Source organism: Homo sapiens, chromosome 8 (genome assembly GCF_000001405.40).
Source record: "Homo sapiens chromosome 8, GRCh38.p14 Primary Assembly".
Taxonomy (NCBI): Eukaryota; Metazoa; Chordata; class Mammalia; order Primates; family Hominidae; genus Homo; species Homo sapiens.
In genome coordinates this window covers 43057914-43074252 of record NC_000008.11, presented here as the reverse complement: position 1 = coordinate 43074252, position 16339 = coordinate 43057914, and the positions used below count along the sequence as shown (strand labels likewise).

At 39.1% G+C, this 16339-nt stretch overlaps 1 protein-coding gene and 1 pseudogene across 2 annotated transcripts in view; both read right to left on the bottom strand.

Moving 5' to 3' along the window:
• FNTA (farnesyltransferase, CAAX box, subunit alpha) overlaps positions 1-16339 on the bottom strand; it is a 29463-nt gene that overhangs the window by 11533 nt on the left and 1591 nt on the right. Inside the window, exons 2-5 of one of the 2 annotated variants that reach the window (NM_002027.3) lie at positions 15076-15161; positions 10038-10152; positions 4594-4698; positions 1946-2072 (exon numbers count right to left, since the gene is read on the bottom strand). In NM_002027.3, coding sequence (NP_002018.1) covers positions 1946-2072; positions 4594-4698; positions 10038-10152; positions 15076-15161 — 433 coding nt within the window. The remainder of the gene's footprint in view (positions 1-1945; positions 2073-4593; positions 4699-10037; positions 10153-15075; positions 15162-16339) is intronic. The other variant, NR_033698.2, reaches the window with a different exon arrangement.
• RNU1-124P (RNA, U1 small nuclear 124, pseudogene) lies at positions 635-779 on the bottom strand (annotated as a pseudogene).

Here is a 16339-nt window from a genome sequence, read left to right as displayed (position 1 = left end):
TGTACCCAGACTCATTTTTAAAGTAATTGATTTTTAGTGTATTTTATATAAATGAGATATACATGAAATACAGTAAAATACATCCAATCTGTGATCGGTTGGGGACAAAGAAGGGTCCTCTACTCCTTCATTTAAGAAGCTCTAGTACAGTCAATGCCAATGACATACAGGCCATGAATGTTTATAATTCATGTTTAAAACTAACGTTTAAAACTAAAATTTTACCACGTTTTTAATATATATGTCATGAAATATTTTTTAGAGATCTCATAGTCCCATTTTAGGTCATCAAAGAGTATGCTGAATTCATTAAATCCTCATTGAAAATAACTGAAATATTAATAAAATAGTTTTCCATATAGAAATAGACCACAGTTCCTTGGCTTTGACACTACTGAAAGTATGGGCTGGATAATTCTTTGTTGTGGGGGACTGTCCTGTGCATTTTGGGATGTTTAGCAGCATCCTGGCCCTCTACCCAATAGATGCCAATAGCAACATGCCCCAAGTTCTGACAACCAAAAATGTCCCCTAGGGGGCACAATCACTGCTGCTTGAGAACCACTGACTCACATAATTTTTTTTTTTTTAATAAAAATAAGCAGAGAAAACCTGTTCTTAAACCACGAAGACCAGAGGAAAGTGCCACACAGTCCCCCTATCACAAATTATGCAGTTGAGCTTCCCCCATTTGGGGAAATTGCAGGGGTCAGCACATCCAGAGTGCAATGAATGTGAAAGGCACCTTGGTGATCATATCTTCCCTGCCAGGTAAGTAACTCACATGAATTAAATAATGTATAAAATAAATAGAAATGCATAAGCTACAACACAATTAAGGGATATTCTGGAATCCTTTCTCATACGAACCTTTTATGATAATTTCAGTAAGAAGCATGCCAGTTAAGGGGGCTTTTCAAAAATACTGGTTATGTTTTATGTCTTAATCTATTGTGGAAGATGGAGAGAGCTGTATGTGTAAAATGTATGCTTTTATGTGATTAAGTTTTTCAGAGATAAGTAAAAATATTGAATACCTTTAGAATATGTTATCCTTTTAATCAAATTTGGAAAAGTTTAAAAATTTTTAAGTTTTAAGTATTTGGTGAAATGCTCTTGGTCTAATGAATAGTGCAGAAAGTAGCAATCCCTGGAAAAAATTCACAGGAAACAATACTAGAACTGTTTAAAATAAATAAAATACCCAGAGTGGGAGTTACAACTATTCTATTCAGAATTTAGCATAAAACTTTGACACATGGGTAGAAATAAAAAACTTAAGTTACTGTAAAATCCTATTCCAAAGTTTATATATGAAAAAAATGTATAATATGCCTTTGTTAGTTAAAATAATACATCTGTAGTAAAAATATGCTACTCTTTATACTCAATTTGCTAGCAAATATGATACAAATTCAATCTAAAAAATACTAAAAATTTACTACATCCAAAGAGATTATAAAGGTTAGCTAACATGAAGGATGTCAGGTTTTAAGTATGTTAATAATGTTTGTTTTTTTTTAAAATAGATAGGGTCTCACTCTGCTGCCCAGGGTAGACTGCAGTGGTGTAATCATAGTTCACTGCAACCTCAAATTCTTGGGCTCAAGCAATCCTCCTGCCTCAGCCTCCCAAGCAGCTGGGACTACAGGTGTGTGCCACCATGCATGGCTAATTTTTGTATTTTTTGTAGAGACGGGGGTCTCACTTTGTTGCCCAGGCTGATCTCAAACTCCTGGCCTCACTCAATCCTCCTGCCTTGGCCTCCCAAAGTACTGGGATCACAGACATGAGCCACCACACATGGCCAATAATTTTTAGTTATATATTGGGTGCAATGATCTACGTATGTGTGTGTTTTGGTTTAGAAACAGACTTTAAGAGTAATTTTATTTAGTTCAGTTAAAAAAAAAATCTGAAAAACACTGTACAAGAAAGGCAATACCTGAATAACCCATTGTCGATGCTGCCAGGCATGATAATTCTTTGCATCCTGATTAAGAATATCAGCAATAAATTCAAGCTCCTGAGATGGATCTCTTAGCCATTCCACTAATACTCGCCTATGATGCCTAAAGCCCAAAGAAGGGAGAGAAGTTTTTTGTTAATTTACCCATGAACTAAAATATCAGTTGCACATGTTGTAAAGGTGACATGAAAGGACACACAATAAACAAAAATTCATCTCTAATTCTTAACACTCCACTGTGGAGAAAAGGTAACACAAAAAAAATAGAAAAAAAATTCAGATAGTTTATCTCAAACTACATCTGGTAGTATCTTTCAACAACCATGAAATTGTGTCAAAAAATTAAGAAACATTACTAGATTGTATAATGAGAGACAAGACAAAATGTGCTATTATTTTATCAAATATATAAGTTCCTCTACTTAACACACGCCTGTCAATTTTCCCTAAGTGCAAAGTGTCATCAAACAAGCAGCTTCTCATTCTACAAATGAGTGGGCAGAACTGAATTTACTGCTACACTGGCAAGTAGCTATGACAAGTTGCAAGTTGTCAACAGAGGAGTTTTTTTGTTTTTTTTTTTTTTTTTGAGACGAAGTCTCGCTCTTGTTCCCCAGGCTGGAGTGCATTGTCCCCCAGGCTGGAGTGCAATGGCGCAATCTCAGCTCACTGCAACCTCCGCCTCCCAGGTTCAAGCAATTCTCGTGCCTCAGCCTCCCGAGTAGCTGGGATTACAGGCGCCTGCCACCACGCCCGGCTAATTTTTTGGATTTTAAGTAGAGACGGGGTTTCACCATGTTTGCCAGGCAGGTCTCAAACTCCTGCCCTCAGGTGATCCGCCCACCTCAGCCTCCTAAAGTGCTGGGATTACAGACGTGAGCCACCGCGCCCGGCCAGGAGTTTCTGCGCTAGGAAAATACTTAAGGATTTTATATTGGGTTCCATTTTTATAATTTTCTTTGGCTGAAATATTTATATAAATCTATTAGTGAAAATGTTCTAAAACTCACTATGGTGATGGTTGTACAGATCTGTATATATACTAAAAAACACTGAATTATATACTTTGAATGGGGGAATTGTATGGTAAGTGAACTATATCTCAATAAAACGGACCCTTAAAAAATCTATATTAGAGTATAACATTCAACTAAAAGTGAGCAGAACAATAGGAAAAAGGGAAGGATTTAATGCTTAATGAATGACCTATTCTACATGCCTGGAAAATTAAAAAATTCGTCTTACAGATTAAGACAAGATACTACCAAAAACAAAAGCCTAGACAGAAGGTTTCCAAATTTATTTTAGAAATCTTCCAAGTCAGTGAACACTAGCTGGATTTTATTTTTCCAGGTTGCTGGTGAGTTCAGTAATTTAGAAAAGCTAAGAATCAGATCCTCCAGGATATCAAACTGAGGAAGAAAAAGTTCATGCTGATGTTCTCGGATTTAAGGAGTTACACGGCTTTATGTTATAGCATAAGTTTTCAGTTAGAAGTTAATAAAAGTGATTAGTTAACTGGGATACAGAATTTGCATCGCCTGTACTACACTGGTTATAAAACGAACAGAGCGGATAATTAGAAATGTACAACAATTTCAAAACTGCTGGGCTTTCCATAGCAGCTACTTTGAGTGGTTTTGTGTTTTACATAACAGTGGGTGATGAAGTGCTAATGACAGTGTGCAGTATCCAGAAAAGAAAAGCAATTTCTCTTTAGCAAAAACTCGATGTAATCAAACACTAATGCCTGTGATGTCAGAATTTTATAGCTACAGATTTTTACATAAAAGCACCTTAATTCCACAGGGTAAATAACTTTAGTGAGGGTCTGCAACTCTCCATTTAATCTCTTTTCCCATTAAACCAATTATTTTATAATGTAATTTCTTAGAAATACAACAATCTTGTAATCAACAGGCTACAATGGTAAAGTTTTTAGTTTTTTAATTTATTTTTTATTTTTTATTTTTTTTGAGACAGAGTCTCACTCGGTCCCCCAGGCTGGAGTGCAGTGGTGCAATCTCAGCTCACCGAAACCTCCACCTCCCAGGTTCAAGTGATTATCCTGACAGCCTCCTGAGTAGCTGGGATTACAGGCACGCTCCTTGAGTAGCTGGGATTACAGGCACGCTCCTTGAGTAGCTGGGATTACAGGCACGCCACCACACCCGGCTAATTTCTGTATTTTTAGTAGAGACGGGGATTCACCATGTTGGCCAGGCTGGTCTCAAACTCCTGAACTCAAGTGATCTGCTCGCCTCAGCCTCCCAAACTGCTGGGATTACAAGCAGAAGCCACTGCACCTGGCTACAGTGGTAGTTTTTAAATAAAATTCTAGGCCAGGCGCAATGGCTCATACCTGTAATCCCTGCACTTTGGGAGGCTGAGGAGGGCGGATCACCTGAGGTCAGAAGTTCGAGACCAGCCTGGCCAACATGGCAAAACCCCGTCTCTACTAAAAATACAAAATTAGCCAGGTGTGGTTGCGTGCACCTGTAATCCCAGCTACCCAGGAGGCTGAAGCTGGAGAATCACTTGAACCCAGGAGGCAGAGGCTGCAGTGAGCCGAGGTCATGCCACTGCACTCCAGCCTGGGAGACACAGCTAGACTCCAAACTTACCAAACTTGATAGTTTTTGGGCTGCTCCTCAATTATTGCAGTGATGTAGTTCATTTCCTCATGTAGATCCTTCTGAAGTGACTTCAAAAGAACTCTCCGGAAATGCCTAGGGCAAACATACAACATCCAAAGTCGCATTATTACACAGAAGTTCCCTAATAACAATATCAAATACAGCTACAAGTCAGCAATACAGTTAGACAAATTTTTGGCAGGTAATCTGTATAATTTAACAATTATAGGCCAAGCACGGTGGCTCATGCTTGTAATCCCAGCACTTTGGGAGGCCGAGGTGTGCAGGTCACATGAGGTCAAGAGTTTGAGACCAGCCTTGCCAACGTGGTGAAACCTCGTCTCTACTAAAAATACAGAAAAAATTAGTTGGGCATGGTGGTGCACACCTGTAGTCCCAGCTGCTCGGGGAGGCTGAGGCAGGAGAATTGCTTGAACCCAGGAGGCAGAGGTTGCAATGAGCCAAGATCACACCACTGCACACTAGCCTGGGCAACAGAGGGAGACTCCATCCACCCCCACCCAAAAAAAAAATTATACATAGGTACTCTGTATAATTTAACAATTTAAGTGCTTGTGAGTGGACTATCTGGTGACTGGAAGAAATGAAGCACTTTTAGTAAAAATAGTGAAAGGTGGCCAGGCACAGTGGCTCACGCCTGTAACCCCAGCACTTTGAGAGGCTGAGGCAGGTGGGTCACCTGAGGTCAGGAGTTTGAGACCAGCCTAACCAACATGGAGAAACCCCATCTCTACTAAAAATGCAAAATCAGTTGGGCGAGGTGGTGCATGCCTGTAATCCCAGCTACCTGGGAGACTGAGGCAGGAGAATCACTTGAACCGAGGAGGCAGAGGCTGCAGTGAGCCAAGATCACGCCATTGCACTCCAGACTGGGCAACAAGAGCAAAACTCTGTCTCAAAAAGAAAAAAATAGTGAAAGGTAACAAGTATGAGATAGAAGAAAAGTAAATTTCTGATTCTTAAGTAATGACAGCCAACCAACTAAAATTATTTTCAGGTACTACTCTGGTCACCTATGTTCTATAATATGAAAATCAAAGACATCTCTTTCCCTACACAGTACACGTTGTTCGTGTACATACATTATCCATATAATAAATTAATTCTATTATAAACATTAACAAAATACTTCTAGAACAACCACAAAAATGCTACTTGTAAATGAAACAAGTTTGTCTTTAATTTCCCCATAGGTGGAGTTTTAACCACCACCACCAACAAAAGGAATTTTCCTAAAGACGTCGTTAGTTCTGGTCTAGTTTTACTTCAAAATTTCAAAAATTTCCAACTCGATATATAGTAAGGGACATTCCAGGACCTAATTTTATTAGCTTTTAAAATGAACTGCTAACTTTGGGAGGCTGAGGCAGGCAGATCACTTGAGGTCAAGAGTTTGAGACCAGCCTGGCCAACGTGGCAAAACCCCATCTCTATTAAAAATACAAAAATTAGCCTGTAATCCCAGCACTTTGGGAGGCCGAGGTGGGCGGATCACGAGGTCAGGAGTTTGAGACCTGGCTAACATGGTGAAACACCATCTCTACTAAAAATACAAAAAAATTAGCTGGGCATGGTGGCATGCGCCTGTAGTCCCAGCTACTCGGGAGACTGAGGCAGGAGACTTGCTTGAAGCCGGGAGTCGGAAGTTGTAATGAGCCATGATTGTGCCACTGCACTCCAGCCTGGGCGACAGAGCAAGACTCCGTCTCAAAAAACAAACAAACAAACAAAAATACAAAACTAGCTGGGTGTGGTGGCAGACACCTGTAATTCCAGCTATTCGCGACACTGCAGCACGAGAATCACTTGAACCCCGGTGACGGAGGTTGCAGTGAGCCAAGATCACGTCACCGTACTCCAGCCTGGGCAACAGCGTGAGACTCCATCTCAAAAAAATTAATAAAAATAAAATAAAATAAAATGCTAAATAGGAGAGACAACAGTATTTCTCTCCATTATTATTCCAAAAAAAAAAAAAAAGTAGACTTCCCAGAGCATGTAAATATAAGCCCTTGGCTTTTATGGGTAAGGATTCCAGGTATACTGCTTCTTTCAAAACAGCAATAAACTCACAGGAAATCTTTTAAGTGTACTGTCAGTTCCAAAAATGATGAAACACACTGAGAATTCCAGTTAAACAGGGTAGATTAAGTAAACAAGTTTATTCTCACTCCCTAATAAAACCCCACTAAAATGACAACAAAGGAATAAACCCACAAGAACAAAGAGAATCGGGGCAAAGATACCACGGCAACTGGAAGAGGTCAACAACATTATGGGAAGTGTGAGCAGATAGACAAGATTTAACTAAAACACAGAATAAGACTTTAAGAAAATTCCAGAAATCAGAGGTATGACGTATTTCCAAAACTGGGACTAAAAACAGTGGAAAGTCTATATAAAGAGTCCTTGGCGGCCAAGACCGTTCCCACTACCATGACAGAAGTGACATCCTGTCTTGGGCAGGAGACAAGTGGCTTTATTCTCTGGAAAAATCTGAAGCAGAATGGGTTACAAGGCACACTGGAAGGCAGGGTGAGTTAAAGGGTGGAAATAAGGACATTTAAAATGTTGATATACAAACTTAGAAAAAAAAGTTTCTATTTCAAATTACAACAGGATAAGATCTGCAAAAAGCAAAAAGTTGGTATCCTAAACAGTGAGACTCTCCTACCATCTTCCCCTGCCTAACACCCTAGAACTGTGGCAGTTAAATGTACACTCCTTAGGCAATAAACTACTTAATCCTCTTTGAGAGACACACTGTCCAAGAGAAAAGACTTAAATACTGACTAGTGAGATTTCACTACAACACAGCCACATCCCCACTCAGTAACTTCACAGCGAAGCCCTTCAGCTGACAAATCCTGCCACACACAGGGCTTCCAATCAGGATTTTTCCTGTCTCTCTTATACGCATAAAGAGAAAGTCAAGAATTACCAACCATTTGAGAAAAATATTTATATGAAAGAGAACAAAAGAGATGAGAAGATCTCACATCCATGAAATTAAACACACACACACACACACACACACACGAACGATGCTATTTAAAAAAGAATATTCAGGCCAGGCAAGGTGGCTCACGCCTGTAATCCCAGCACTTTGGGAGGCCGAGGCGGGCGGATCACGAGGTCAGGAGATCAAGACCATCCTGGCTAACACGGTGAAACCCCATCTCTACTAAAAAAATACAAAAAAATTAGCTGGGAGTGGTGGCAGGCGTCCGTAGTCCCAGCTACTCGGGAGGCTGAGGCAGGAGAATGGCGTGAACCCAGGAGGCAGAGCTTGCAGTGAGCAGAGATCGAGCCACTGCACTCCAGCCTGGGCAACTGAGCGAGACTCTGTCTCAAAAAAAAAAAAGCATATTCACAGAACAAAAAAACAGCTCCCCCAAATTAAAAATGAATGCAGAAATCTTTAAAAATCCATACGAGAGTTAGAAAATAAAATTGATGAAATTATCTCAAAAGAAAATAAAAAGATAAACAAATGAAAATAAGAAAAATTGAGGAGATACAACATAGAACTAAAAGGCATTCCAGAAAAAGAAAACAGAGGAAAGAGAAGAAATTATCAGAAGAACCCAGAAAAATCCCCAGAACATAAAGAGAAAAAGAAAAGTTTTAAACAAAGGAATGGAAATCTTCTCAACCTGAAAAGAAGCTAAGAGAAACAGAAAAAGAGTTTTAAAATTCTGAGGGAAAATAATTTCCAATCTACAATTTTATTACTAAAGTTGAAGGGAGACTAATGATTTTTAATTGTATAAATCCCAAAAATTATTTTCCATCTTTCTACTCAATGATGTGCTCTATAAAATGAGAAAGTAAATCAAGAAAGAGAAAGGTATACGATCTAGGACACAGGGGATCTAACACATGAATGAGCTGAAAACCAGGTATGCAGCATCCAATTGGTGAAGAGAAAAATGAAACTGAAGGATGACCTGTGTTCAATAGAAAAATGATACTTCACATATAGCAGAGCATCTGGACGACAAATTACCTATTGGTACAAAGAAAACAAAAATGACACTGTTAGAGGGAATGTCATTATACTATTAAATGTGGGTCAGCAGCCGTGCACAGTGGCTCACGCCTATAATCCCAGTACTTTGGGAGGCTGAGACTGGTGGATCACCCGAGGTCAGGAGGTCGAGACCAACCTGAGCAACATGATGAAACCCCGTCTCTACTAAAAATACAAAATTAGCTGGGTGTGGTGGCGTACACCTGTAATCCCAGCTACCTGGGAGGCTGAGGCAGGAGAATCACTTGAATCTGGTAGGCAGAGGCTGCAGTAAGCCAAGATTGCACCACTGCACTCCAACCTGGGCAACAAGAGCGAAACTCCATCTCAAAACAAACAAACAAAAAAAAAAAAGTGTGTCAGCATGAACATAAATTGAGTGCTCATTTGTGATGGAGGGAGGGTAGTGGAGAATGAACTATCTTTCACAGAAGGAATAATGTTTTAAATGAAAAAAATAAGCCAGGCACGGTGGTTCACGCCTGTAATCCCAGCACTTTGGAAGGCTGAGGTGGGCGGATCACGAGGTCAGGAGATCGAGGCCAGCCTGACCAACATGGTGAAACCCTATCTCTACTAAAAATAAAAAATTAGCCAGGCATGGTGGCGGGCACCTGTAATCCCAGCTACTGGGGAGGCTGAGGCAGGAAAATCGATTGAACCCTGGAGGCAGAGGTTGCAGTGAGCCAAGATCGTGCCACTGCACTCCAGATGGTGACAAAGCAAGACTCCATCTCAAAAAAAAAAAATAAAAGTAAAAATATAAAATAAAATAAAATAAAATGAAAAAATAATAACAGTTAAGCAAATTATCTAGAATATGGAGGTTAATTCAAGAAAAAAATCACTAAGAGTTACTTACCACCTCTGCGGAGTGGGACTGGCAGTGGGAGGGAATATTGGGCTAGAGATTGCTACTTTTCATGCAGCTTCTGACTTTTAAACCCATAAGCGAATTGCTATTTTGATAAAAATTAAAGGCCAGGCACAGTGGCTCACACCTGCAATCCAAACACTTTAGGAGGCCGCGGGGAGTGGATCACCTTAAGTCAGGATTTCAAGACCAGCTTGGCCAACATGGTGAAACCCTGTCTCTACTAAAAATACAAAAAAATTAGCTGGGCGTGGTGGTGGGCGCCCGTAATCCCAGCTACTCAGAAGGCTGAGGCAGGAGAATCACTTGAACCCAGGAGGCAGAGGTTGCAGTGAGCCAAGATTGTACCAGTTATACTCCAGCCTGGGCAACAAGAGTGAAACTGCACCCCCCTCCAAAAAAAATAAAGTACAGTTTAAAAAAATTAAAGTACAGTTTAAAAAAAGAAAAGCCACTTGAAGTAAAACATTTAAGCAGGGAATACTGATGATGTGTATTACTTACCACACTGTATAATTGGCTGCATTTAACTCAATAGCATCCCGGGTTAGCTTAAAAGCTCGTTCACTTCTTTCATCACGCTGCAGGACAGCTCGGAAGTAATCATAAACATCTCTAACTAGAGATAGAGCACACAACTACATTAGGACCATCTTACTTAAAATTAGCACTATAATGTATAATGTCACTATACCTATAAAGATATTTTATTGGCCTGTGTATCATTTATACCAACAAGCAAAATAAAGTCAAATGGCTGTGGCCGCCACCCTAATAATGCCCTAGTGCCTCAGCCACAAAAAGCATGGACTATTTATGTATAACTGTATGCTTACTGCTTACGTGTGTGCATGAGTTCATGCCAGATTCCATATCTCCCATAGGCCTTATGTATAAAAGAAAAATTAGGGTTGCATATATTCAAATATATTCATATAGCTGTTTTTCTGACATTTTGATCAGATTTTTAACTGAAAAATATGCCCAAAGGCAGAAAACTCAAACAGTACAAAAAGGTTCACACTAGATTTCCATTCCACTAAATTCCCAAGCCTCCTCCCCAGAAGCAACCATTATTAACTCATTCTAGTGTATCCTTCCAAATATAGTCTATGCATCTACAAGTATATAGCCTAATTCCATCCTTCATTTTTATGCAAACGAGATCCCATCACACTCTGAGCTTTGCATTTTTCACTCGTACATTATTAAAGATAGTGTAAACTAGTACAAATACTTCTACAACAAATCATTAAAATTTACATACTCTTTGACCCAGTAATTCCAGCTCTAGAAAGTTCTCTCACAAATATACTCCCATATGTGTGCAAGTATTCAAGGATATTTATTGGGAGCATTGGATTACAAAAAAAACAAACAAAAGACTGAGGCAGGCAGATCACTTGAACCCAGCAGTTTAAAATTAGCCTGGGCAACTTAGGGAAACTCCGCCTCTACAAAAAATATAGAAATTAATCGGGCGTGGTGATCCAGGCCTGCAGTCACAGCTACTCGGGAGGCAGAGGTAGGAGGATCGCTTGAGCCTGGGAGGTCAAGGCTGCAGTGAGCCATGATCGCAAGCACCGAGCCTGGGTGACAGCACAACACTGTCTCAAAAAAAAAAAAAAAAAAGGAACTGCCAGGTATGGTGGTTTGCACCTGTACTCCCAGCTACTCGGGAGGCTGAGGCAGAAGGACTGCTTGAGCCCAAGAGTTTGAGACCACGCTGGGTAACATAGTGAGAGCCTGTCTCTGAAAAGAAAAAAACAGAAAGGGGTCATTTACAGCCAAGTAGAATATTAAATGTGGGTAATGTGGTGACCCACTACTTGCAATGGCATCTGAAGTGGGATGGATGTTGCAGCACTGATCCCTTGGCCTGTGGGATCTGTGCTAACTCTGGGTAATGTCAGAACTGAATTAAATTGTAGGGCAACTAGTTGGTGTCTACAGAAAATTGCTTGGTGTGAAAAATCCAAACATTTGGTGTCGAAGTATTTTGACTATAGAGAAACAGTTTTTTCCTTTTAGCCTGTAACACTGAAAGTATCAGACACGAATATGAACAATTACTCCTCTTCACAAAATTCTGAGGTATACAAAGTTTACCTAGTTCTAAACACTATCTTTAAAAAGTTGAATTTGAGCAGTGGCTCAGGCCTGTAATCTCAGCACCTTGGGAGGCCGAGGTGGGAGGATCACTTGAGGTCAGAAGCTCAAGACCAGCCTGACCAACATGGTGAAACCCCATCTCTACTAAAAATACAAAAATTAGCTGGGCATGGTGACACATGCCTGTAATCCCAGCTACTCAGAAGGCTGAGGCACGAGAATCGCTTGAACCTGGGAGACAGAGGTTGCAGTGAGCCGAGATCACGCCATTGTACTCCAGCCTGTGCAACAAGAGCGAAAGTCTGTCTCAAAAAAAAAACCAAGCTTCCAAATAATTTCAAATTTAAAACAAAATGGTAACATATTAAATATGTATACAAATGTATATATATAATACATTATCTTACACACACACACACACACACACACACACATAAAACATACACATATGCACATTGATAAAATAAACTGGGAGGCTATCAGGCTGGGATAGCTCCAAAGCCTCAGGTTCCTATGTAAACAACCAAAATCCGATTCACTGTAAAAGGTAAAATGAAACATTATTCTTTTAATTCAAACATTATAAACAGACCAGGCGCGGTAGCTCACGCTTGTAATCCCAGCACTCTGGGAGGCCGAGGTGGGCGGATCACCTGAGGTCGGGAGTTCGAGACCAGCCTAACCAACATGGAGAAACCCCGTCTCTACTAAAAATGCAAAATTAGCCAGGTGTGGTGTCGCAAGCCTGTAATCCCAGCTACTCGGGCGGCTGAGGCAGGAGAATCACTTGAACCCGGGAGGCGGAGGTCGCGGTGAGCCAAGATCATGCCATTGCACTCCAGCCTGGGCAACAAGAGCGAAACTCCATCTCAAAAAAAAAAAATTATAAACAACATATTGTCATGCTCGAAGATTCTCAAACTTTGACTTTTTTAACTCAACATTGTTTCTGAGATCTGTTCATGTTATAATAGATCTAAATCCTCTTAACGGTTATATAGTATTAACTGTATGACAATGATACATTTTATTTTATCCATTTCTCCAAAAGATAGACATATAGCTTCCAATATCTTGCTTTTTCAAAAAATGCTGCAAATTATAGTAGCTAACATATATAGTGCTTACTATGAGCCAGACAGTATTCTACTATTTTATGTAAATAATTTACTACATCTATAGTTACTACCAAGATCCTCATTTTACACAGGTGGAAACAGAGGCACATAGGAGTTAAATAACTTGTCCAAGATTACACAGTCAGTAAAATGTGAAGTTAGAATTTGAACCAGATGGTCTGGCTCCAAAGTCTGTGCTTTTAACCTCCTGTGCATATCTTCTCATGCCATGTGCCAGAATGAACCCAATATTAAATTAGAAGCAACACACTGCTAGGTTGTAAGATAAGTGCATTTTCCAGTTTTAACAGATATACCAAACTACTTTCCAAAATGGCTAAACATTCGAAAAATCCCATATGAAATGTATGGAGCTCTTCATATATCTTAATACCTAATATAATATCAAGACAGTTTTCATTTCTGCCACTTAAATCATGGGTGGAAAATGGAATTCTCATTTTAACCTGTCATTCTTAATGATAAAGGATTCTTCCTATTTTATTGGCCAATGGGATTTTCTTTTCTGTGAATTGCCAGTTCATACCCTTTGTCCATTTTTTGATTAAACTCTCTGTCTCCTTATCCTGTTGTAAAAACGTCTCAGTTTTAATATGGATCCTGTTTAAATGACATACCTTCTTCCACACTGCTGCTTGCTTTTTAACTTGCTCATGGTTTCTTCTGCTGTGTAAGTTTTAAATTGATATATTTGTCTATAAACGGTTGACAGGTCAAACTTATCTTTTCCTTTAGGGTTTCTAACCATGGTGTATGTAAGAATTCACAAAGTTAATTTTTTTTTTTTTTTTTTGAGACAGAGTTTTGCTCTTGTCGTCCAGACTACAGTGCAATGGCGTGATCGTGGCTCACTGCAACCTCCACCTCTCAGGTTCAAGCAATTCTCCTGCCTCAGCCTCCTGAGTAGCTGGGATTACAGGCGCCTGCCACCACGCCCAGCTAATTTTTGTATTTTTAGTAGAGACAGGGTTTCGCCACGTTGGCCAGGCTAGTCTCAAACTCCTAACCTTAGGTGATCTGCCCACCTCAGCCTCCCAAAGTACTGGGATTACAGGCGTGAGCCACCGCGCCTGGCCCAAAATGTTAATTTTATACCTTGCAAAAAGGTTAATTTATCCTCAATGGAAACATATGATTATATTAGTTTCCCCCAACATCTCTGTTATAAGTACTTATGAATCTGAATAAGTTATGGTTTATATTTCTCTGATCACTAGTAAGGTTAATATCTCTTCATAGATATTTCTATTTTGTGAATTGTCTCTTCATATATACTATCTCTCAAAGTATGAGAGTTTTGCATTTCCGTGCAGTTATATATTCTGACCTTCTCCTTAATCGATTCTGAGGTTTACATCTTGCCTAATACGTTCTCCATCCTAAGAATGATAGGGATACAACTCTGCTTTTATCTAAGTGCACAGCCAACTGTTCCAACCATTATTTGATTAATCCACCCTTTTCATAAAGGTATAAAATGTCCTTTTTATCACATATTAAGCTTTCATAGAGTGAGGATCTATTTCTCGAGTCTTTACAAATCTACTTCTGTGCTACTTCCACTTAATCATTAAGTTTAGTAATATATCTGCACACTTAATACGGCAAACCTATCATTATGCTTTTTTAAACATTTATTGTCATTTTATTAGCAGAAAAAAAATGCTTTTGTAAAAGAATGATCTTAGAAAAGCCTTAACTGAAAGAAATATATATACATAAAATTACAAAACTATCATTCCATTTTATTCATTTTCCCTTTCCTAGAAGAACTAACAATTAACATTTCCACGACCTTCAATTTACACTTTCACATTCATTACAAAAGAATATTTTGTCAAAGAAAAAAATCCACTCATTTTAATATCAATAAATGTATTCCAACTGAGCTGAACACTTCACTGCCAAAATATATGTTTAAATCCTGATGTTTCAGCAACCAAAGTTTATTCTAAAAACAGTAACTCATTTATATTGTGTGGTACATGCATAATCTCCCTGGCGGTGGAGTCTCCAGCAAAGAAAAGAAAACCACAATCACATAGTAGCTATTATCTACTATACTGTAACGTTTATTATTTAGAATATGTCCAGTCTTTGGGCAAAATAAAACTTTTAATCATAAAGCTAAATCACACACACACATAAAAAAAACACAAAATTAACTCATCTTAAGTCATTCAGATTTTTATTAGACAGAAATTTGTCATCTATCTTGCTACATAGTTGTGAATTCCAATTCTGCTACTATATTTAACTTACAGACCTTTTCCTAATATAAACAAACTTACATTTGTCACTATAAATGATCTGGACCACGGGATTGGGGCCATCATTCTGCGGCACCGGATCTATATCAGCCCATTCTGCTCTGTCCCTGAAAACAGACATTCCCCAACCAGTGGTTACATTCAAATACAGAAGAAAAGGGACTCTAGTGTTTTTAAAATGACAATAATTACAGTTACATTGATATTAATAACTTACAGGGCTCATAATGTAATCATGGTTGGATTCTTCATGACCAAGTTTTGCCAATATGTTTTACACATTAAACTATTAAAGTAAAATTAAAACAAATAACCCTCAGATGCTGAAAAGCTAATCAACAGTTTTCAAATTTAAAGTTTTATAAGTAGAAAAATAAGTTTTTGCAGCAAGTAGACAGTACTTTTTTTTATTTTATTTTTTTGAGACGGAATCTCACTCTGTCGCCCAGGCTGGAGTGCAGTGGTGTCATCTCGGCTCACTGCAACCTCTGCCTCCTGGGTTCAACCAATTCTTCTGCCTCAGCCTCCCGAGTAGCTGGGACTAAGGACTACAGGCGGGCGCCACCAAGCCCAGCTAATTTTTGTATTTTTAGTAGAGATGGGGTTTCACCATGTTGGCCAGGATGGTCTCAATCTCTTGACCTGGTGATCCGCCCGCCTCGGCCTCCCAAAGTGCTGGCATTACAGGTGTGAGCCACCGCTCCCTGCCTCACAGTATTTTTAACTTAGAAATCAATCTAACTCATTGGTCTAGTAAGATTCTTTGAGTCAGTCAGCATTTTTAAAACGTTTGAGTAACAAAATACTAGGAATTGACATTTTAAGATAAAAATAAGTACTATTAATTTACTCAAGAGGTGGCGCAGGTGATCATTAATAAGACAGGCTCTGGAATCTGACAACTGCCTAAGTCGTAACATTGGCTGGAGCACTTAATAGCTGTGTGACCTTCAGAAAGTTACTTATTGGGGCCTCAGTTTCACCATTTATAAAATCAGGGCAGTATTATTACCTACCAACCTTAGAAGGGTATTTGGAGGATTAAATGAGATAAGCACTTAAAACATCCACAGCACACAGGCGGCATTCAATGACTACTTAATAAGCAATGCTAAAATAACTGTATAGTGACAACAGTGAGTGCTTACAGAAATTTCTGTGAACTACCTACCCAGTGTAACAAAATTTCTCTTAAACACTTTCACTTATATTCTTTTCCTTTCACTTTTTTTTTTTTTTTTTGAGATGGAGTCACGCTCTTGTCCAGGCTGTGGTGCAATGGGCG